This window comes from Homo sapiens, chromosome 8 (assembly GCF_000001405.40).
Source record: "Homo sapiens chromosome 8, GRCh38.p14 Primary Assembly".
NCBI lineage: Eukaryota > Metazoa > Chordata > Mammalia > Primates > Hominidae > Homo > Homo sapiens.
In genome coordinates, this window is record NC_000008.11 from 67,547,105 (window position 1) to 67,571,658 (window position 24,554).

The window sequence follows — 24,554 nt, forward strand, 5'->3', positions numbered from 1 at the left end:
GGCGCCATCACGGCTCACTGCAAGCTCTGCCTCCTGGGTTCATGCCATTCTCCTGCCTCAGCCTCCCGAGTAGCTGAGACTACAGGCGCCCGCCACCACGCCCGGCTAAATTTTTGTATTTTTAGTAGATACAGGGTTTCACTGTGTTAGCCAGGATGGTCTCGATCTCCTGACCTGGTGATCCGCCCGCCTCGGCCTCCCAAAGTGCTGGGATTATAGGCATGAGCCACTGTGCCCGGCCGAAGGCCAAGTTTTAAATGAACTATACCTGATTCACTCTAAGCATATTCCTGGTACATGGTAGATGCTTAAATATATAAAAGTGAAAAAAGACTAAGATAAACATAGTATAAAATTTTAACTTTCTACACTATTAACAAGTAATGAATTATAGTCTTTTTTTTTTTTTTTTAGACAGGTTCTCACTCTGTCCCCCAGGCTGGAGTGCAGTGGTGCGATAATGGCTCACTGCAGTGACCTCCCAGGGTCAAGCAAACCTCCCACCTCAGCCTCTGGAGTAGCTGGGCCCACAGGTGAATGCCACCATGCTCAGCTAATTTTGTAATTTTTTGTGGAGATAAAGTCTCCTCATGTTGCCTAGGGTGGTCTTGAACTCCTGGGCTCATGCAATCCTCCCCCTCAGCCTCCCAAAGTGTTGGGATCACTAGTGTGAGTCAACATGCTTGGCCCCACGAATTATAGTCTTATACATGGTCTTTAAAAGTAGAATTCTCCATTCATAGTTAATTTACAATATTTACTGGTGATCATATGTTACTTTGCAAATTAATAATACATAGTCCTTCTACTCTTAGACCACGTTTTAAAAGGAAGGAAGGAATAGGATTTTAAAGTTTCATTCTATTCCTTGTATTATATATTCTATGTGATGCTCAGGAAAATCTTTAGCAATAGAGTTACCAGATTCTTGTTTTAGACCAGGGAACTTCACTTTTCTTTTCTTTTTTTTCTTTTCTTTTCTTTCTCTCTTTCTCTTTCCTTCCTTCCCTCCCTCCCTCCCTCCCTTCCTCTCTCTCTCTCTCCCTCTCATCCTTCCTTTCCTTCCTTCCTTTCCTTCCCTTTCCTTCCTTCCCCCTCCCCTCCCTTCCCCTCTTCTCTCCTCCCCTCCCCTCTCCTCTCTTTTCTTTTCTTTTTTTTTTTTCTTGAGACAGAGTCTGACTCTATTGCCCAGCCTGGAGCACAGCGGCATGATCTCTGCTCACTGCAGCCTTCAACTCCTGGGTTCAAACACCTCTCCTGCCTCAGCCTCCTGAGCAGCTGGGACTACAGACACGTGCCACCATGCCTGGCTAATATTTTTTTTGTATTTTTAGTAGAGACAGGGTTTCACCATGTTGGCCAGGCTGGTCTTTTTCCTCAGGTGATCTGCTCATCTCGGCCTCCCAAAGTGCTGGGATTATAGGCATGAGCCACTGTGCCCAGTAGAATATTATTTTTTCTTATAAGAAAGATAACGACCAAAAAACAAAGGAAGAACAACTATGAGATGATATGTGATTAAAATTATATCCAGAATATGAGTTTTTAATGTAAGAAAAATGTTCTATAGGGCAAACAAAATATTAAATTCCATGCTGCTATTGCACATGTCTACCTTCAGGGAGGGGAGGTAAATTCAGCTCAGGAACAGGGGTGGTAGGCAATGTTTGAGGGATTTCCCACTGCCTCTGCCTCCACTCTGTAGTTAGCATCTCTGTGCAGAAACACCAGCTCAGGTGAGGTCCCAGATACTGCAGTTCCAGAGATTAGTCGAGTCAGGGTCACCTGTAGGTTTGGGTCCTGTGACCCTCGTGTCAGGGGACTAGGGACTGTGCATCCCTGTGGGGTCCAAAGGACACAGTGCCTTGTGAGACAGAATAGAATTTACAGCTGTCTGAAATTTAATTTAAAAAATTGCATGGTGTTTAGGATCTACATAATGATATTGAGACTAATTTTGAAAAAGCAAAAGAAAATGATGGAGTGGAGCATAATGTTAAGAAAATGTTATGAATAAGAAAATTAACTTAGGAAGAGAAGGCTTTTAAAAATGAGAGCAATCATATTTATGCCTACAGAAATAATCAGAAATATACTGATTTTGCTTATCTAAGGATTTAGATAATTTTTTGAGAGGTAAAAGGAAGAAAATAAGGAGAAGAGGAGGGAGCAAGACTAAAGTAACAAGAGTGTTTGAAAGATTATGAAGCCTAGGCAATCTTACTTGTAGAATCATTTATTTTCCTTTTAAACCACGTTGAGGTATGATTGACATATAAAAGCTGTACAGTATACATCTGTGAAACCATCACCACAATCTATGCCATAAACATATTCATAACCTTCTGAAGTTTCCTCCCACACTCTTCTTTTTGTGACAAAAACACTTAACATAAAATTTACCCTCTCAGAAAAATTTTAAGTACACAACGCAGTATCACTAACTATAGGCCCTATGCTATATGGTAGATCCCTAGGACTTATTTATCATGTACAGTTGAAGATCTGTACCTTTTGACTAATGATCTCCATTTCCCCCCATCTCTCCAGCCCCTGGAAACCACCATTCTACTCTCTGCTTCGGTAAATTTGACTATTTTAGATTCCTCACATAAGTGGTATCATACAGTATTTTTTCCTCTGTGTCTGGTTTATTTCACTTAGCATAATGTCCTCAGTGTTCATCCATGGTGTCATAAACGGCAGGATTTCCTTCCTTGTGAAGGCTGAATAATATTCCCTTGTTCGTATATAAACCACATTTTCTATGTCCATTATTCCATCAATGGACATTTAAGTTGCTTCCATGTTGTGGCTATTGTAAATAATGCTGCCATGAATACAGGAGTGCAAGTATCTCTTTGAGATCCTGATTTCAATTCTATTGGGTAAATACTCAGAAGTGAAATTGCTGGATCATTTGATAGTTCTATTGTTTTTTCTTTTTCAACTTTTTAGATTTGGAGCTACATGTGCAGATTTGTTACCTGGGTATATGGTGTGATGTCGAGGTTTAGGGTATGAATGATCCCATCACCCAGGTACTGGGCATAGTATCCAACAGTTAGTCTTTCAACCCTTTCCCCCTCCCTTTCTCCCCTTTTTGTTAGTCCCCAGTGTCCATTGTTGTCATCTTTATGTCCGTGAGTACTTGATGTTTAGCTCCCACTTATAAGTGAGAACATGTGGTTTGGTTTTCTGTTCCTGTGTTAGTTTGCTTAGGATAATGGCCTCCAGCTGCATCTATGTTGCTGCAGAGGACATTATTTCATTCTTTTTTATGGTTGCATAGTATTCCATGGTATATATGTACCACATTTTCTTTATTCAATCCACCATTGACGGGCATCTATGTTGATTCCATGACTTTGCTATTGTGAATAGTGCTACAATGAATATGTGAGTGCATGTGTCTTTTTGGTAAAACAATTTGTTTTCTTTTGAATATATACCCAGTAATGGGATTGCTGGGTGAAATGGTAGTCCTAAGTTCTCTGAGAAATCTCAGAACTGCTTTCCACAGTGGCTGCACTAATTTATATTCCGACCAGCTGGGTATAAGCATTCCTTTTTCTCCTCAGCCTTGGCAGCATCTTGTTATTTTTTGACTTTTTAATAGTAGCCATCCTGATTGGTGTGAGATGATATCTCTGGTGGTTTTGATTTGCATTTCTCTGATGACTAGTGATGTGGAGCATTTTTTCACGTGTTTGTTGGCCACTTGTATATCTTCTTTTGAGAAATGTCTGTTCATGTCTTTTGCCCACTTTTAATGGGGTTATTTGTTTTCTGCTTGTTGAATTAAGTTTCTTATAGAGCCTGGATATTTAGACCTTTGTCAAAAGCATATTTTGTGAATATTTTCTTCCATTCTGTAAGTTGTCTGTTTACTCTGTTGATAGTTTCTTTTGCTGTGCAGGAGCTCTTTATTTAGGTTCCACTTGTCAATTTTTATTTTTGTTGCAATTGCTTTTGAGGGCTTAGTCACAACTTCTTTCCTAAGGCTAATGTCTAGAATGGTGTTTCCTAGGTTTTCTTCTAGAATTCTTATAGTTTGAGGTCTTACATTGAAATCTTTAATCCATCTTGAGCTAATTTTTAATATGGTGAAAGGTAGGGGTCCAGTTTCATTCTTCTGCATATGGCTAGCCAGCTATCCCAGCACCATTTATTGAATAGGGAGTCCTTTCTCCATTGCTTATTTTTTATTGAAAATGAGATGGCTGTATGTGTGCTGCTTTATTTCTTGGCTCTCTATTGTATTCCATTGGTCTATGTGTCTCTTTTGTACTAGTACCATGCTGTTTTGGCCACAGTAGCCTTATAGTATAGTTTGAAATCAGGTAATGTGAAGCTTCCGGCTTTGTTCTTTTTGCTTCAGATTGCTTAGGTTATTCAGGCTCTTTTATGGTTCTATATAAATTTTAGAATAGTTTTTCCTAGTTCTGTGAAAAATGACGTTGGCTGTTTGATAGGAATCATATGGAACCTGTACACTGCTTTTGGCAGTGTGGCTGTTTTAATGATATTGATTCTTCCGATTCTTGAGCATGGAATGTTTTTCCATTTGTTTATATCATCTATGATTTCTTTTCGCAGTGTTTTGTAGTTCCTCTTGCACAGAACTTTCACCTCCTTGGTTAGATGTATTTCTAGGTATTTTATTTTTTTGGTGTGGCTATTGGAAATGGGATTGCATTCTTGATTTTTACTAGAATATTGGAAAAGAGTGGGCACATTTGAATATTCTTTTTATGTATGATATGAGGAGTTGCCTTGGTGTAAATTTACAGACTACTGGAATTATATTAAAGCCTATAATGATGGCAGCTGATGAAATGGGCAGTGAAGAATTCAAGCTGGCATTTCTGATCATCTGATGTAATAAGAGGATTGTTGCTTTAAAATCAGACTTTTTCTCCTTTTTATCTCAATACTTTATGCACAATATGTAAACACGCTGTTAAAAAATTCTCTTAGTTCTCTTTCTTCCAAATCCTTCCAAAGTAAACAAACATCGTCATGGAGTTTATAATAAAATCTGTCCCTTGCCTCCCACCTATTAAAACAACCAAGCTTAAAAGTGAAGAAACAGAGAAATGGCAGCATACACATCTAAGTAGATTGAAATTCATAAACGGAATAGGAGTAGTGGCAGGTTACTTACCAAAGCTTGGGACACAAAATGCTATTTGCCTAGTGGAAGTTTTGCCTGTGGCTTAAGGGTCTCAGAAATCATGGGGATAGAAAAATAACTTTTACCTTCATGGCTTTTAGCAGACTATGTGCTGAGTATAGGTGCTCAATATATATCAATGGGGTTAATACAAAACACAAATTAATGTGAAACACATCTTAGTACTTTTGAACATATTATAAAAAATGATGGCCGGGCACGGTGGCTCATGCCTGTAATCCCAGCACTTTGGGAGGCCAAGGCGGGCGGATCACAAGATCAGGAGATCAAGACCATCCTGGCTAACACAGTGAAACCCCGCCTCTACTAAAAATACAAAAAATTAGCTGGACGTGGTGGCACGTGCCTGTAGTCCCAGCTACTCGGGAGGCTGAGGCAGCAGAATGGCATGAACCCGGGAGGCAGAGCTTGCATGCAGTGAACCAAGATGGTGCCACTGCACTCCAGCCTGGGTGACAGAGCAAGACTGTCTCAAAAAAAAAAAAAAAAAAAAAAAAAAAGAAAAGAAAAGAACAAGAGAAGGGCCTCTTTCTTAATTACATTGTAACAAAAAGAATAAAGGAAATCAATTTGGTTAAAATAAGTTCCATTTGTACAGTTGCATTTTTGTTTGAATTAGTTAAAAGGATGACAATAAGTAGATTTTGATTTAAACTGTATAATTTATGAAGCTGTGAAATTACAAAATGCTAATGTCACACTCATGACATCCCCTTTTAAAATATGTTTGAATCAATATTATAATAAACAACTCTAGGAAGTTAACCTTTTAATCATTTATTAATCACCCATATGTTATCAAATTGACTATGCTGTGAAGTTGATGCTTTCTTGATTTTTATCAGGAGTTATAAATTAAAGATTTTCACACCTGGCTGACAGTGACTTAAGCCACTATCAATTGTAAGATGCATCCTAATTTGAGAGAAGTGTTAAAATATAAAAAATGTGTGCATCTTAAAATTGGTAAAACATTTGTTGAGCATCTATTCTATACCAAGCACCATGATAACTGCTGGGGATACAGAAATGAACACAATGCATCCCATCAATTCAGCAAGCTTGTAGCCTAGTAGGAGAAAAACAGATAAACAATTTTATGGTAAAGAGTAATGATATTATAAGTTCTCAAGCTAACTTTCCATTTGTTTGAAATACACAGAGAAACCTACTGGTAATATTATTACATAAGGGGTATGGATTATACCATAGCTATAAACTAGAAGTAGTTTTATGAGCATACAGTCCTTCATTTCTCAAGGGCTTATGATATCAATTCCTCACAGCCACTTCAATATTTGTCTACTTTTGAGATATTAGAGTGGAAAAAATAATCATTTTCCTCTTGAGTCTCAAGATTCAGAAGTAACCTAATACTTAACTCAAGCATTTCTCCAATAAATATTTTCTCATCTTGTAGCTGAAATAAAATGTGGCATTTTAGTATCAAATGAGAACTACTAAAAAATAATAAAAATAAACAACATGAATGACTTGGTCTTAAAACAACACCAAATACCATGTTTATGCCTAATTTGGGTCCCCAAAATATTGCTGAAGGAACAATATAGTTAGTTATTTGTGATGGAGAGAGAAAGACAGTGGTGATTTTCAAACCTGAATTTTTGGCTTGCTGTAAACCATGTGCTATTCCTGAAGGGTATATGTATATGTGCTTACATGTCTGTCTACTTATCTATTTACCACTGTGACATATTGTGGTATAATGAAAAATAAATATTTTAGTAAAGGTTCTCCAGAGAGACACAACTGATACAGCATATAGAGAGACACATGAAAAAGGACGTGTCTATTACACTCTTGATTAGGGAGTGTAATAGGTCATTCTTGCACTGCTATAAAGATACCTGAGACTGGGTAATTTATAAAGAAAAGAGATTTAATTGGCTCACGATTCTGCAGGCTGTAACAGGAAGCATGGACCAGCATCTGCTGGGCTTCTAGGGAGGCCTCAGGGAGCTTTTACTCTGGTGGAAGGTGAAGGGGGAGCTGGTGTCTTACATGGCAAGAATGGGAGCAAGAGAGAATAAGAGAGGTGCTACACAATTTTAAACAACCAGGTTTCATGAGAAGTCACTCACTGTCATGAGGGCAGCACCAAGAGGAAACAGCTAAACCATTCATGAGAAATCCGCCACCATGGTCCAGTCACCTCCTACTAGGTTTCACCTTCAATACTGGGGATTAAAATTCAACATAAGATTTGGCAGGGACACATATTTAAACTATATCAGGGAGGCTGAGAAGTCCCACGATAGTCTGTCTGCAAGCTGGAGAACCAGGAAAGCCCTTAGCATGACTCAGTCCAAGTCCAAAGACCTCTGAACCAAGGAAGCCAATGGTGTAATTCTCAGTCTGAGCTCAAGGCCTGAGAGCCTGGGGGCTGTTGGTGTGAGTCACAAAGGTCAAAGCCTGAAGAATCTGGAGTTATTCCATCCCAAGGTAGAAGAGGGGTGACCTGGCTCTGGGAGAGAGTGCCCAAATTCATCCTTCCTCTGCCATTTTGTTCCATTTGGCCCCAGCCTGCTAGATGGCCCTTGCCTGCATGGAGGGTAGATCTTCTCCACTCAGTCCACTGACTCACATGCCAATCTCCAGAAACACCCCCACAGTCACACCTGGGGCAGTCCAATCGTCTGAATCACAAGCAAAAACACTTAGTTTTTTGCTATCAGCAGAAGAGGGCTGGGCTCAGTGCCTACTGAAGCACTGAGAATAAACAATGCTATACCAGGTAGTATCCCTTAATTTGGTCAAGTTGACAACCCCAAATCAACCCACAATAAATATTTGGTTTTTGTCCCCAGTTCCTGGCACAGAGCTCCTTAAACCCTTGGAATTTATTATCTTATATATGCTAACTCTTAGAGTTGGGGAGGACCCTAGATAGCTTCAATATGGTGGCTGGTCACCAGAAAAACCAACCGTGTAACTGGAGGTTGGAACTTTTAGCTTTGTCCCCTAACTTCCAAGAAAGGGAGAGGGGCCAGAGATTGAGTTCAGTCATCGATGGCCAATGATTTAATCAATCACGTCTACATAATGAAACCTTTACAAAGACCCCTAAATGATGGTGTGTGGGGAGCTTAGAGTTGATGAACATATGGAGGAGCTGGGAAGGTTGCACCCAAAGAGGACGGGGAAGCCCCCTCATCCCCGTACCTTGCCCTATGCATCTCTCCATCTGGCTGTTCCTGAGTTGTAGTCTTTAAATTAAACTGGTAATTGTAGGTAAAGCACTTTCCTGAGTTCTAGGAGTCATTCTAGCAAATTATTGAACCTAAGGAGGGGCTCAGGGAAACCTCTGAATTTGTAGTCAGCCAGGCAGAAGTATGGGCAGCCTGGGCATCCCATTTGTAGCTGGTGTCTGAAGTGGGGCAGAATTGCAGGACTGAGCCCTTAACTTGTGAGGTCTCTGCTAACTCTGGGTGTTAGTGTCAGGATTGAATTGGATTGTTGGACAAGCAGCTGGTGTTAGAGAATTACAGAACTGGCATGGAAAAATCACACATATTTGGTGTCAGGAAAAACCATACGCATATTATATTACATTCACCCATTTTTCTGTGAAATCCAAGTATTTCTGTTGGAATTGCTTTCGCCAAGAAGTGTGTAAGGAACTATGAGTCCCTGTGAGGCAGAGCCTGAAGCAGTGTGTAGTTCCATCTTGCTTCCATCTGCCATGGTAACTGGCAATGTTCTAAACAGAGGCTGTTCCTTCAGCCTGGGCCCCAGAGTGAACACCATGCAGAACAGAGATGTGGATGGATCATGAGCAAGAAACAAACCTTGTTGTCAAGGTCTAGGCATAACTTGGTTTCATAACATGACCTGGATTATATTAGTTAAGGTTCAGGTGATATGGAATAAGGGATTTATTATGGGAGATGGGGTTTCTGCGTTCGTAGGAGCTCAGGAACAAGTTTAGGAAAGAGTGTTGCCACTGGTCTTGGGGCTGGAGTCCCTACAGATCCTCTGGGCTTGAGGAGGGGAGAGGAAGGACAGAGTAGAACTGCTTGTCTCACTGCCTCCACCTCCAGCATGTGGCTACCTGCAGAAGAAGCTGACATCCTGCGCTTCCACACACACTCCTGCACAGAACTTGAAGGTGAACGAGGGGAGACTCAGCTGGGAGGTCAGTAATCATGTGTGTGACCTGCAGGTACTTGGCCCCCAGCTCAGAACTTAGAGAGGACTTGCTGCCTCTTTATCTCTGCCTTCCAAATGTCCAGCAATTTCTCCTGGGGCCAACCCTCACTCAGAAGTGGATGGGAATTCTGGGAAGTCTACTTTCAGCTTAGTTACACTGACACATACGAAAGCACCCCAGCTATGAGCACACTCCAGGAAAAAATGCTATTCTATTATCAGTTAGAGCTCGGCTCCCAAACCCCTATCTGGACTCAGACTTTGGTGAACTTAGAGGGACTATTTGTGAATGTCAAGATCCTCTTGCTTCCTTTAGCCCAAAACACAGACAAGAGCGGCAGCGCCGAGAGTTTGCTGCATAGGCTTTTTATCTAGGAATTTACCTGACCTTGGCCCTTGAGATTAGCACCTGGACCGTGAGGAGAATAGGACTCTTTCCTCCTAAGGCCTGAGGCCGAGCTTCACTGAGCCACCTCTTTCCATGTCTTCTTGCCCTGGTCCTGCCAGACCTTGCCATGGTTGGGGGAGACGATAATAAAAAGGAGCTTTTATCCCTAGTAAATTGCATTTATGGTTCTGAACACCCCCTCTAACTTTGTACCTCTTTGTGGGCCACATTTTATCTTTGGTTTATATAATAGGATTCTTTGTTTTTGGAAATAGAGCCGAGTGATGAGGCTTGAGTGCCACCAGAGGTTAGAGAGTGTCCTGAACAGATTTAATTGTACCACATGTAATCAATTTGCCAGACTAATGGACACTCTGCATGTTCTCAATATAAAGGAAACTGACTAGTGGAAGGTGAAGCCTGCAGGTTATTCTCTATTGAACATCTGTGCATCTCTGCTCCCACCCATTGAGTTGCATGTTTACCGAGAGTTAGGTGTGTTTATGCCTGTAAGAACAACAGGATATGAATGAAAGTGATTCATGCAGCTTCCATTTCACTCCTTGAAAATGAAGTTTGCTTTGCTGCTGCCTCTTACATACCTGTGATTGCATCAGTTGGCTCTAGTAGCAGCAGTTGGATTCAATCTGCAGTTTTTCTTACCCAATCTGAACCAGCAACACTGTACAGCTTCAGAGAGATTAGCACCATCTGGCCAGCAAACCTCCCCAACCCCCTATTTTCAGAGGTCTGATCTCAGTTCTGCAGGGTGTCTGCTCAGAGCTCCTGGGGCACCAGTATCAGCCAGTGCCCCCCTCAGAGGTCTGAATTCTGGCTCCATAGGAGTCTTCCTGCAAACTTCTAAATTGTAATAATCCTAGCCTATTGCCTTTGGTCATAAGTTCAGCATTAAGTAAGGAATAGACACTAAACACTAGTTGTACTAAATTTTCAGGAGAAACTAGCCTTCTAGTCAAAGTTACTGAGCCTTGGGGTACAGCATTTTCAATACTGATTTTGTGTCATGGCTGAGACCCTCCCCGTCCCTAGAGGCAAGAGTGTTTAGATCACACCACATCTCTGCTTAAAAACAAGAGTTCTGATGGCTTCCCATTGCCCTTAGAACAAAGCCCTACATTTTTCTCCTGTTCTCTAAGCCACTGTATGAGCGGGCCCCAGCTGTAGCTCTCAGACTGCATATCTTACTTTTCCCCCTTCCATTCACTTCACTCCAGCCAGACAAGCTTTGTTTATTTCCATCAAACAGCTAAGCTCAGTTTGGCAAATTCGCCTTCACACTTGCTATGATTTTTGCCTGGAATGTTCTCTCTTGAGACCTTTGCATAGCTAACTTTCTTATTCTTCAACTAATAAGCTCATTATCACCTTTCTAGAGAGGTCTTTTCTGAACACCCAAAGAAATGCATTTCTTCTATATAATCCGTTTATTTCTTTCGTAGCCTTTATCACCATCTGTAGCTATCTTGTTTACTTTTTTATTTGCTGATTTTCTTCTCTGTGAGGAGAATAATATAAACTCCATGAGGGCATCTATCTTATTTTCTACTCTACCTCTTTAAGTATTTATTGAACAAACAATACATTTAGTTTTCAGTGCTATCTAAAATGTGAAAGTCAATGTAAATTTATTACTTTTATCCTACAAATGAACCCAGAAACGTAGAGTACCTAAATATATAACTTCTATTGTTCTAAGCCTACTCAGAACAAGTGGGCAACAGTTTTCATTGGATGAACCATTCATGCATTACAGTAAGTCATCTGGGGAAAAGGGTTTGGCAGCAAGAGGGCTAAGCATAGTTTTGCTGGAAGACACTGTCAATACAAGAGTCTGTCAGACTGAAGAAAGGCTGCTGCAAACCATTCACTGATGTGTTTGAACCAGGCAAATGCACATCACAAATCTTGCAGGATTATGGCTCTTCGTCCCATCTGGTCACATTCCATCATGAAACTGAGGGTACCCATAAATAAGCCCTGAGTACTAGCTCAAAAGAAAAAAGGTACAATCTTGTCAAATAAGCAAAAATTTAAGGCAATGTGCATGAGTCAGTGAAATTGGTGAAATCTTCTTTTAACAAAGCCCTGTCAAATTATATTGGCTCCCAAATTTTACCACCCTGTCTAATGTTGACTCATGTTGCTTTTCAAAATACGTCTTGGGGCCCATGTGAATCAGAGGGTTGACTATTACAGTGTCAGGGCACTAGTGTTTGGGGTCTTGTTTAAAACGTTCCAACTTTTGGGATGTTGTATTTCATAAGAGTCCATTGAAATTTCTCTTTGTCCCACTCTTGTTCTACCTTAACTATACCATCAATATTTGTTTCTAAACCATTTAATATTTTTATATATGTGACCTCATAAGATCAGTATCAAATTTTATCTAGACTGTTCAGGGAATGATTTTCCAGGGATAGATTAACCAGGTCTTATACTTCTACCAATGAAAGCATTAATTACTCCTCCCCAACAAACACACACACACATAGGAGACTAGGTGGAAGAAAAGTCCCAGACAAGTCTTATTTGTGAATTCGGCCTCAGGACAATGACACTAGCCTGCCACACACCCCTGCACTATCCCATGGCCATGATGTCCTACCATCTCTCCTTTCTAGGGTAGAGGATTTAGATTTAGCAATATACAATCTTCAGATTTTTACCCATGTTCTCTCATTAAAATTTTATAGGAAAAGGAGGCCTGACTGTCCATTGCCAATATTCCAAGCCCACTCAAGTTTTGCATGTGTGAAGAAACAGGCAAACTTTCTTTCTTATTTATTCTATTCTGTTTGTCCTTTTAAGGCTTTGATGAACCTTAGTATAAAACCTTTCCATATCACAGCACACAACTGTAGGCATCATTCTCTGAGCCATTCAGAGAAGGCAACAAGATGGGAAATTTGTCTGTAGCCTCATAAACAGGATTCTATACAATGGGGCTTTCTACTGCTAATAAGTTGGACAAAATATATATATATATGTATACACACACACACACACACATATATATAGTGTTTTTATAAGAGAGGCCCCAAGGAGCTCTCATGTAACTTCTACCATGTAAGGACACAGTGGGAAGATGCCATCTCTCAATCTGGAAAAAGCCCTTACTCAACAGACGTCAAATCTGTTGGCACCTTGATCTTGGATTACCCTGAGTCCAGAACTGTGAGAAATAAATGTTTATTGTTTACATCACCTACTCTTTGGTATTTTTGTTAGAGCAGCCCCAGTGGACTAAGACAGTTGGTATCACATCTTCTTGTATTTCCGGATATATATATATATATATTCCAGATGTACTTTTGGCAGGGCTATGGTTGCAAACCACAGCGCAAGGAAATGGAGGAATACTCTAATTACAAAAGGAAATACTGCATCTCCCAAAGGGCTCGCTAGACATTATCATCATTTATGACACAGGGCATTGTTAACCTGATATACACTCTTCCTCAGTGGGACAAAGCTACACCTTCTCAAACTTCCTATCCTTTAGTACACATAGGAGCAAGGAAGAAATACAAAGCTTTCAAAGGTAGGAAATAAGTTAACAGTCTTCTGCAAGTCCTTTGATCTTCACAGAGGCACAGAGCACTGGTTCCCGTGATAGGGAAAACCTTTGTATAATGCAATAAACTGTGTAAATAAGGGAGGTAGGGAGCAGAGGCACAAGGGTGAGGGGCTGTAGAATCACTGCTCATTCTCATTCTTTTCTCTTCCTTCTAGAAGTGGCTGGAAAAGGGGGGAAAGGGTTGAATTGGAGGAAGCTGAGATTTGCTGCCTTTTCAACTGTTCCTGCCTTTTAAACTTGGGTATTTGCATCCTATGTGGGATACCAGCTGACACTAGGGCCTTGAGCAAAATGGAAATGGGTTGCTAGGCCACCTCCCATTTCCTTTCGTAGTCCTTTTCCCACCTGTTCTGTGACTCATCATCTTTATGCTCTCCCCTGCTTAGCCCCATCCCTATTTCTGTTTATGTGGACATTATAACCAAAGCCATTTTCCCTGCCCACATTTAAAACAAATAATTATCATTTGGAGAGTAAATGGAGCTTGGCCTACCCAACCCTGATTATTTGAAATCATATTATAAACAAAAATGTTGATGATTCTATCTAGTTAACTACACAAAGACAACAAAATCTCCTTTTAAAATTCCTATTCTAATTCATCTTACATGGAGCAGTCCAATTAATCATTCTGTTACAACCGCTGTCAGTGTCTCTACCATACCCCCCAAATTTATAATTACTACAAATTGCTTATAGAACTTCAAAATTTTAATCTTGGTGATTTGAAGCTCTCCATTACTTTAGTTAAAAAAACTGGTTCCAGGAACTCCACTAGGCATTGCTGAGAATACAAATGAGGAACGGGACAAAATATGGTTTCAAAGTACCTCCCTATAAAGCACTTAAAGGAAAAACAGCAAAGAACCCTGGCTTGGCAGACACCTTTTCAATCAAGTCATCACAGTGAGTATCATCAGTCGTGGCACACATAGAAACTCATGCTACTTGATTGGATACGATGAAAACATAGCATGATTTTCTTGTGTTCCTGCCAAAGCAGCATAACAAGATTCTAGTCACGAGGAAACGTCAGACAAAGCCAAACCAAGAAACATAACTTTGAAAGAGCTGGCATGAAATCTTCAAAAGTATCAAGGTCATGAAAGTCAAGGAAAGACTGAGGGAAACTAAAGAGATATGACAACTTAATCCTATTGTGTGATTCTGTACTAGATGCTTTTACTATAAAGGCCATTATTGGGAGAATTGGTGAAGGTTGAGTAGGGTCTGAGGATTAAGTAATATATCGGTGTTAATTTCTGATTTTGAGGGTCCTATTGTGATTATTAGGAGAATGTCCTTGTTTAAAGGAAATGTACTCTAAAGAATTCAGCATGATGGGGCATCTTACTTTTCAGTGGTCCAGAACAAAATTTCTTTATACTACACTTCCAAATTTTCTGTAAGTTTATTTCAAAATAAGAAGCTATTAAAAGGTATGCTTTCCATTTACTATTCTGCTTCTATATAATGAAAGAAGGCTGAGCAGCTAGGACACTATTAGCAATTGCCTAGATGATAGTAGAGCAATGGCTGTTGGAATGGAAGGACGTGAGCCCATGAGAATTTATAATGGTGAATTCTACAGGTTTAAAACAGAAAATTAGAGCTCAGGTGATCTCTGGAAAGTTACAGACTGTTCTGAGATGTGGTCTTCTGCAGAGAGAAGAGCAGTGTCAATACGATGAGGGGAACCAGAAGCTGCTAGTTCTTTAGATGAGCTTTAAGTCCAATTTTCCCCATCTAGGCCTTTCCAACCTCAAATACATAAACATGTACTTTTTGGCTTATTTTGTCTTCTTTTCTCTTGCTGTACCTTTATCAACTCTCTAGGTCTCTGTCACTTTCTCCCTTCACAGTGTACTTGGGCACTCACAGCTCTATATTTTTTTCCAGTTTTGGTTAAGATTTGCGCCCTTCCTGGCCCTGACAGAATGTCTGACACAAGCACACAGCCAGTATTTGGTGGTTGAAAGCGCTAAGCCCTCCTGGTGGCTGTTGTAAGGCAGATGCTATTACCAATGCAGCTCCTTACTCTGCATTCGTTTTGTGGTTCTACGTACAGTTGGTACTATGTCTGACTGTGTCTTCCCAACTTCATATGTTGAATCCTAACCCCCAAGGTGATGGTATTAGGAGGTGAGGCTTTTAGGAGGTGACGCTTTTGGGAGGTGATTAGGTCAAGACCGTAGAGTCCTCATGAATTGGATTAGTGCTCTTGTAAAAGAGGCCCCAATGAGCTCTCATATAACTTCTTCCATGTAAGGACACAGTGGAAAGATGCTGTCTCTCAATCTGGAAAAAGCCCTCACTCAATAGATGTTGAATCTGTTGGCACCTTGATCTTGGATTACCCTGAATCCAGAATTGTGAGAAATTAATGTTTATTATTTAAGCCACCTACTCTTTGGTATTTTTGTTAGAGCAGCCCCAATGGACTAAGACAGTTGATATCACACCTTCTGGTATTTCCTGATATACTATATTGCAATGGTATGGCCCTCTGTTTTCTCTGTATACGTTTTGTCTCCCCCAAAGGATCGTAAGCTCTTCCAGGGCAGATGATGGGTCTCCATAGCAATGATCACTGTGATGAGCATGGAGTAGTTGCTCAATGAATGTTTGTAGAACTAAACTGAGTCAAAAATTAGAATGAAGAGAAAAAAAAAAACACAACCAGGGCCAAATAGGATGTGACAACATGCTTTACTTATTTAATTAAAATAGGAACCATAAAAATGTATGTTTTGGTGTTAACTAAAACAGAGAGTAACTGTTCCTGAGTAAATTAAACATGCTAATCAAGAACACAGATCTGGAGACAGCTGCCTGGGTTGCATTTGACTGATGGTTCTGCTTCTTATGAGCTCTACCTTCCTGGGATTATCAGCGTCATTCACTGCCTGAGGTTTTTGTATTAAGTGAGATCATATATGTAAAGAACATGAGTGACTGGCAAATTGTAACAACTTAGGAAGGTTAGCTAAATATCACCTTTTTTTCTAAAAATCTTGGACAGAACATGGGAAAGCACAGCTCTGAAATTCTTTCAGGGAGGTCATTCTTTAAGAGGCCTCAGCTGGGAAACCTGCTGTTGGAACAACCCATCTGGAGTTTGGGTAGGGAGAAGGAATCTCATATCCAGCTCCTTCTGACTACCTTTACACAAAAGTAGGCTGTGGGGCTCAGGGACGATTGATTGATACAAAAAGATCTGAGATTGTATAGCCTTAAAATCTCACTCCTTTCCCCTAGGAAGGCCACTTCCCTCCAACTTCTTTTCTCATGCTTTCTCTTTAAATCTGCAAATCTGCATGTTTAGTCCATGTCCTTCAAGGCTGTCCTTGATACTAATTTTACTGATTTCTACCACATTCTATGAGTCACAGTTAGAATTATTTATCCACCTTCCCTCACTCCCATGACTGAAGCAGTCATCTTAGGCTGCAAGTCTATTCCATATTTTGGGGTACGTGTAGCTCATTGATAAGTTGCCTCTTCAAAGGTTTCAATATGGAAGAACATTTCACAGTGCTATATACTGGTCCTAATATACTTCCACTGAATGGATGTTAGGAGGTCCTGGGGAAGGGACTTTGCATAAATTGTTCACAGCTGTATATCCAGGATGTGGAAGGGCACCTGCCACATGATAGGTGCTTAGCATTGCAAAAATGACATCACTGCCCCAGAAGAGTTTATCATCTTGTTGGCAAGACAAAATCCATGAATAGGAAACAGAAAGCACTAGGCAACTGGTCTCTGGTTCTAGGATTAAAGTTTGCCATTTCCTGGAGAGGTCTATAGTGGTAAAACCCAGATTTTTCTCTCTAGTCTCTGCCTGTGATGCTCCTAAAGCTTTTTTTGTTTGTTTGTTTGGGGTTTCTTTTTGGCAGCCTGTGCTTCTATTTCTTTCTCTGGGATGCAAGCTGAGCAGCGACGATTAAAAGTGTTCTTTTTTTTTTTTTTATGTTTTGGATATAGAGAACTACATCTAAGGTGTTAGCTTATTTAATTCAGGCCTCCTACTTGTGACTCAAGAATATATCCTTTTACAAAACTGAATTCTTATACAAGTGAGTTCTCAAGGTCATAGGAAGAGCAGTACAGAGCTGAATCAAAGGCACAGAATGTTCTTGTAGCTGTCATACCAGTAAAATTATACTCATCGTTGTCCACTAGAAGAGAAAAATGTCTATGTTTCCAGCCACTATTTCTGCCTAAAGTGAATTTTCTAATTTAAAAAGGCTTAATTCAGCTCTTTTCATACATTAAGTATGATGTCAATGCATTTTAATTAGGGATTAATATTGCTGATAGATTTCTGTGGTTTCTTTTTATGTAAAATGATCTGTAATGTGACAATATGTCTATCCCAATTAAACAATGATCAAAACATTCAGCTGCAAACAACAAAAGATAACACTATCGTTATGACAAATAATCCTTATGAAAGGATTTTCATAGGATTATTTGACTCAATGTCAAAACATGCTTACTGAAAGATGAACTGAGAACCGCAGCGTGGTCTTCTAGATCATTTAGTATGTAACATGTGGTCGGATCAGTTACGCCATCTGAATTAAAGCTAGAGATGGCTATCTAAATCAGCATGACCCGAAAACAAATATATTGGATAATGGAGAGCAGGTGGGAGGCAATGAGAGAGCAAGAATTGGGACTATGCCACAGCGTTTTTCTTTTTCTTTCTTTTTTTTTTTTGTTGTTGTTTTTTAGGATCTTGCTCTGTTGTTAGGTATGTTGTAAACTGCTGCAGAATCCTCCTCAAAACCCAGTTGTAGAGATTGAGACTGTCTGTAAATACTTCAAAGGAGAAAGAAAAAGAGGATAATGGGACGCAGAAAAACAAAAATGACAAGAAACGTTCTGTCAGCAGCATGCGATTAAAAAACCCCATACAGATCTGGCAGAGCATGGTTATTTCTGAAAATGACACTCACTTTGAAGGCTGTTCTTTTAGTCAGACCTCTGTTAGGCTAAGGACCTCTCCCACTGCTGACATGATAGATCAAAGGAAGCACCTTGCACTGTCTGAGGTGCATGACTAGCACAAGTCACTACAGACACAGAACAACAGAGCAGGCAATGGACGTGCAGCCAAATCACCATCACAAAATACCACTTCTTTCACTTCTTACAGGATAAACTACCTTGAAAAAGACCTTTAGGACTGCATAGTCAAGGATAGTTCCTTGCCAAACTGTTTAGTTTTTTTCCCAAGAGAAAATAGAATGAGCAGGTCATTAGTTGGTATGGATCAATTTCTACTCTGAAATGTGGTTTTATTTGTAATGTCAGTTTGTCTCAGCACCTTGACTCTCAGGAAGATGAGATCTCTCTGAGATGTCATCTTCACTTTGAAAAAGCTTTCAAAAAAATATCAGACTCCTCGTATGCCACTTTGGAGAATGCCTCCTGCAAATACTTGGATAACAAGGGTCACCATGACAAGGGAAACATCCTTTCTGTTGCCAAGACCAAATTAAATTTTCAGAGAGAATTTCACTCCTAAATGGTTACAGCTGATTCATGATTTTCATTTCTTTGCCAGACACTCAAATGGTTTCTGAAGGGGCTTCCAAGGCAAAAGCAAATCCTCACCTCTGGATAAATAGCTCAAGTCTCAGAGGAGATAATAGCCAATTCTCCAGTGTTCTTTTGTTTGGCATTCTCCTCTCTTCCCATTGTCGTTTCAATAGTATTAGTCATTAGTTTTCCTGCAGAAGAACATCTTCCTCCAAAGATAATGCTGTTTGGATATAACACTATTGGTCCTGACTCATTGCTGCCCTGTTCTGACCTTGCAGTCACCTTCTCTCTTGCACTGGGATGGGCATCTCCTCATAGTGTACAGTGTCCCACCAGCAGGAAATGTCCAGGAAGTTGTCAATGTCCATATCTGACAGCTGAGCCTCCACTTTCTCAATGCCAATGGAGTGAATCTCCAGTCTACTTTATCAATCCACTTTAAGGACAATATCTTGTGTCACCTCTAAAACCTTAAATTCAAATTTCTCACTCTTGGACCACAAGTTCCTGGCTATGTTTTCACCTTTTGGATTTTTAATATCATTTAGATATCTAGTCCCTAGATACTTCTGCTGTCTCCTGACTTCCATTCCCTATTAGTCTTCATTCTTTCTCTACCCAAAGTGGACATTTTGGTTGATAACATGTACAACTATCTCATGGTCTAGCTGCATGCTGCACCCTCACCACCAAACCCTAACCCTAGATCAGTATGCCAGTTCACCCTCTCCATCCCTATGCCCAGAGAGCAGGAGCTGCTGGAGAAGCACAGGGAATGTGTAGATTGGTTCCAGTGCATGAACTCTAACCTCTTCAGGATGCTTAATATTCATGTACTGCAGATAATCAAATGATATGCCCAGGAATGGTGGGAAAGTAGAAGGCTGTTCTTTATATAAGAATAGCCATTGTTTGGAGTGAAAGGTGGCCACTCTTTAGGCCACAGTATGTAACATAAACTGTGACCTGGCATGAAAAGGCAAGTTGAACACCCTGCACTAGCAATCTGGACTATAAGAATGGAAAAAATTTATCAGTTGGCACTTGGACAGACTGAAAGAGGAGCAGGCATGTAGAGAGTAGTAGACTTACAGTAATGGTAGAGGAGAGCCTCTACCTTACTCACCTCTTTCTTCTTAAATGTGTATGATTATTCAGACAATAGGGTCAAGAGAATAGACAAACCTGTGCAACTCCTCTCTCTTATGGGATATCAGATACATGGGCCTGGCCAGGGCAGATTTAGGTCTTGTGAGACCTGAAGTTCATGCAGTTTTGAGATGTCCTCTTAAAAAAGAATAGAAATTTAACACAGGCACAAAAGCAATCAAATGCATTTAAAAATTGCTCCTACTTTGTATTGAGCTACATAATGGTGTAATCAAATTACTCTTATATGGCAATCATTGACTTACCAATGAATAAACATAGGAGTTTTGCCATCAAAACATTGCTTTCTTCAGGACATTTAACTGGGTCAGTGGCAGTTTTGTAATGCTTTTTGTCTGGAGGTCAGCAAGGTGGTGGAAAAGGAAGTCTTGGGTTTCATTCCCCTCCACAGGAAAATCAACTAGAACTATTCATAGACAAAAACAAACACCTTGGTGAAAACCCCAAAACATGGGAATAAATCTGAACCACTTGTGTGTTCCATGGAATTGAATAAAAATCTACATTGAAAGGGCAGGATAATCAGTCTCACTTTGACTATGTCACCCCTCTGCCTTCCGTAAGTTGGCACAGTGCCACACAGGGTACTCCCCAGGGCTCATAGTTTCTACAGTGAGTAAACAGAACCAGGGAAGTGGACAGCCAGCTTCCCTAGCATTCTGAGATGCTTCCCAGGAAGCCCACTCTGTCCTTACCTCACGGGGACTGAGGAACATAGGGGAAAGAGTGCAGTTAGACCACCTGGGGTCAGGCAGAAACAAAGCAAGGAGGTGAGGCCCACAGAGATCAGCACACAGATTTTTGTGAATGTACCTATCCTGCTGGATAGAAGAGCCTAGCCAGCTGTCTCACCTGAATTCAGGGCAAAGGGAGCAGCTCAGGCTTCTAGATAACCTGAAAGCAAACTCTGTCTGCCCGGGGTCAGTACGAGCTGGCCCATCCACACTCATAGGCTAGACTAACTAGTGAAGGTCTATCCCTGCCAAAGAACTCCTGTAAAAGCCAGGAAAGTTGGCTTTCTCTATAAAGCCATAAACACCAATGCAAAGACATAAGGATTACAAAGATTTAGGAAATCATGATACCTCCAAAACAAACAAAGAAAAAAACAATGAGAAAGCTCCAGCAATGGACCCTAGAGAAAGGTAAATCTATGAAATGACAGAAAAAATGGAGAATAATCTACTTTTAAAAGTTCAGTAAACTTCAAGAATATACAGATAAAAAATTAAATGAAATTCAGAAAATACACAAACAACACCAGAAATTTGACAAATAAATAGAGACAATACACAAAGAAACAAATAGAAATTCTAGAGATGAAGATTACAATGACTGAACTGAAAAATGTAATAGGAAGCTTCAACAGCTGGCTCAATCAAGCTGAAGAATCAGTGAACTCAGAGGCAGAACATTTTAAACTACTTAATCAGGGAAGCAAAAAGAAACAAGAATGAAAAAGATGAAGAAAGCCCATGGGAATTACGTGACACCATCAAGAGACCTAACCTATGCATAATAGGCATTCAAGAAACAGAAGAAAGAGAAAACGGGCCAGGAAGTTTTTTTTTATTACTTATTTATTTAGAGGCAGAGTTTTGCTCTTGTTGCCCAGTTTGGAGTGCAGTGGCACGATCTCGGCTCACTGCAACCTCCGCCTCCCGGGTTCAGGTGATTCTACTGCCTCGGCCTCCCTAGTGGCTGGGATTACAGGCACCCACCACCATGCCCAGCTAATTTTTGTATTTTTAGTACAGAAGGGGTTTCACCATGTTGGCCAGGCTGGTCTCAAGCTCCTGACCTCAGGTGATCCACCCACCTTGGCCTCCCAAAGTGCTGGGATTACAGGTGTGAGCCACTGTGCCTGGCAGGAAGAGTGTTTTTAAAAAATAATGAATGAAAACTTTCCTAATCTGAGGAAAGAAGGTAACATCCAGGTACAGGGAGTACAAAAGTCCCAATTAAATTCAACTCAAAGAGGAGTTCACCAAGATATATAATAATCAAACTGTCAAAAATTAAAGACAGAGTTCTGAGAGCAGAAAGAGATAAGAAATATATCATATACAATGAAGTCTTAATATGACTGTAGATGGAATTCTCAGCAGAAGTCTTGCAGGCCAGGAGACAGTAGGATAACATATTCAAAGTGTTGAAGAAAAAGAAGACTGCCAATGAGGAATACTTTATTCATTACTTTCTGCCACCATCTCGGTTCCATGTTCCCCCTACAAAATGCCCAGTAAAGACACAGAAACTGTCTCTGCTACGGAGCATAAGTAGCCAGAGCCACAGGCTAAGACAGGGTCTGTAACAGAATCTAACAGTGATGAATCAGTACCAGAGCTTGAGGAACAAAATTCCACACAGGCAACGACCACACAACAAGCCCAGTTGTCAGCAGCAGCTGAAATTGATGAAGAACCAGTCAATAATGCAAAACAGAATTGGAGTGAAAAGAAGGCACAGAAGGTTATATCCAAACTGTGTTTTAAGCAGGTTACAGGGGTTACTAGAGACATTATTTGGAAATCTAAGAATACTCTGTCATCACAAAACCAGATGTCTGTAAGATCCCAGCTTCAAATACCGACATGGTTTTTAAGGGAAGCTGAGATTGAGGTTTATCTCAGCAAGCACAGCTAGCGGCTACTGAGAAATTCAAATTTCAAGGTGAAGCTCTCTCAAACATTCAAGGAAACATGTAGCCTCTTCCAACTGTACAAGAGGAGAGTAAAGAGGAAGTTGATGAAACAGGTGAGGAACTTGATGAAACGTGTGAAAATTAAGGACACAGAATTGGTCATGTTGCAAGCAAATGTATCAAGAACAAAGGCAGTTCAAGGCCTGAAGAACAACAGTAATGATATTGTTAACGTGAGTATGGAATTAGCAATTTAACCGTCTGAAAACAAGAACTTTTTTTTTTCGGTGTTTCAAAAGAGTAACTGCAGCTTGAATTGAAATTTGTACTCTTTCTATCATTAATAAAGTTATGGTTTCCTGTTAGATAAAAAGGAATATTTTATCCAGAAAAGCTGTCTTTCAGAAGTGAGGAAGAAATAAAACTTCCCCAGACAAATAAAAGCTAAGGAAGTTTATCACCACTAGACTTACCTTTACAGGAATTGCTAAAGGGAGTTCTTTAAACTGAAACAAAAGGTTGCTAAATAATAACGCTAAACATATGAAAGCACAAAACCTAATGGTGTAGGTAATACAGAGCAATAATCAGAACACTCTAGTACTGTAATAGTGATATATAATTATATTCCGAGTATGAGGGTTAAAGGGCAAAATTGTTAATAACAACTAGAGCTAAAATAAATTACCAAGGGATACATATCACAAAATGATGTAAATTCAGACAACAAAAACATAAAATGTGGGAGGGGAGTAAAAGTTTAGAGTTGTACGCAATAAAAGTTAAGCTGTTACCAGCTTGAAATAGACTGTTATAAGATATTCTGTGTAAACTTCATGATAACCAAAAAGCAAAAGTAAATAAGAGATAGAAAAAACAAAATTTAAAAAGATTCAGAACATACCACTACAGAAAACCATCAAATCACAAAGGAAGACATCAAGAGAGGAAGAAAGAAACAAAGTATCTATAAAACAACCAGAAAACAATGAACAAAATGGTATTTGTAGGTTCTTACCTAGCATTAATTACCTTGAATGTACATGTATTAAATTCCCCAATTCAAAGACATAGAGTGAATGAATGGATAAAGAAACAAGAGACAACTATATGCTATCTACAAGAGATTCACTTCATTTTTAAGGACACACATAGACTGAAAGAGAAGGGATGAAAAAAGATATTTCACAAAAAAGGAAACCAAAAGAGAGCAGAGGTAGCGATACTTGCTTGTATCAGACAAAATAGATTTTAAGTAGAAAATTATACAAACAGAGAAAGAATGACATTCTATAATGAAAAAGAGGTCACTTCATCAAGAGGACATAAAAATTATAAACACATGTGCACTCCACAGTGGAGCACCTAAATATATAAAGCAAATATTAACGGATCTGAAGGGAGAGAGAGATTGCCATTCAATAGCAGCAGGGGACTTCAATACAGTGCTTTCAATATAGAACAGATCATGTAGACAGAAAGTTATTGAGGAACCATTGGACTTGAAGAACTCTTTAGATCATATGGAACTAACAGACATATGCAGAACATTCCAGCCAACAGCAACAGAATACACATTCACTTTAAGAACACAGAGTACATTCTCTAGGGTAGATCATTTGTTAGGCCACAGGACAAATCTTGGCAAATTTAAGAAGATTGAAATCATATCAAATATTTTTTCAACCATAACGGTATGAAACTAAAAACTAACAACAGGAGAAATTTCAGAAAATTCACAAATAAATGTCAAAAAACATACTACTTAGCAATGAAGGTCAATATAGAAATTAGGAAATTAAAAAATATCTTGAGACCAATGAAAATGGAAACA

General features: G+C 39.8%; 1 protein-coding gene, 1 long non-coding RNA gene and 1 pseudogene across 4 annotated transcripts in view; 2 read left to right on the top strand and 1 right to left on the bottom strand.

The window, feature by feature from the left end:
- CPA6 (carboxypeptidase A6) overlaps window positions 1–24,554 on the bottom strand; it is a 324,323-nt gene that overhangs the window by 125,067 nt on the left and 174,702 nt on the right. The window lies entirely within an intron of this gene.
- LOC105375886 (uncharacterized) overlaps window positions 8,939–24,554 on the top strand; it is a 58,475-nt gene continuing 42,859 nt past the window's right edge. Inside the window, exons 1-2 of the long non-coding RNA XR_007060953.1 lie at window positions 8,939–9,018; window positions 9,259–9,353. This is a non-coding gene — a long non-coding RNA (uncharacterized LOC105375886). The remainder of the gene's footprint in view (window positions 9,019–9,258; window positions 9,354–24,554) is intronic.
- NACAP10 (NACA pseudogene 10) lies at window positions 22,273–23,091 on the top strand (annotated as a pseudogene).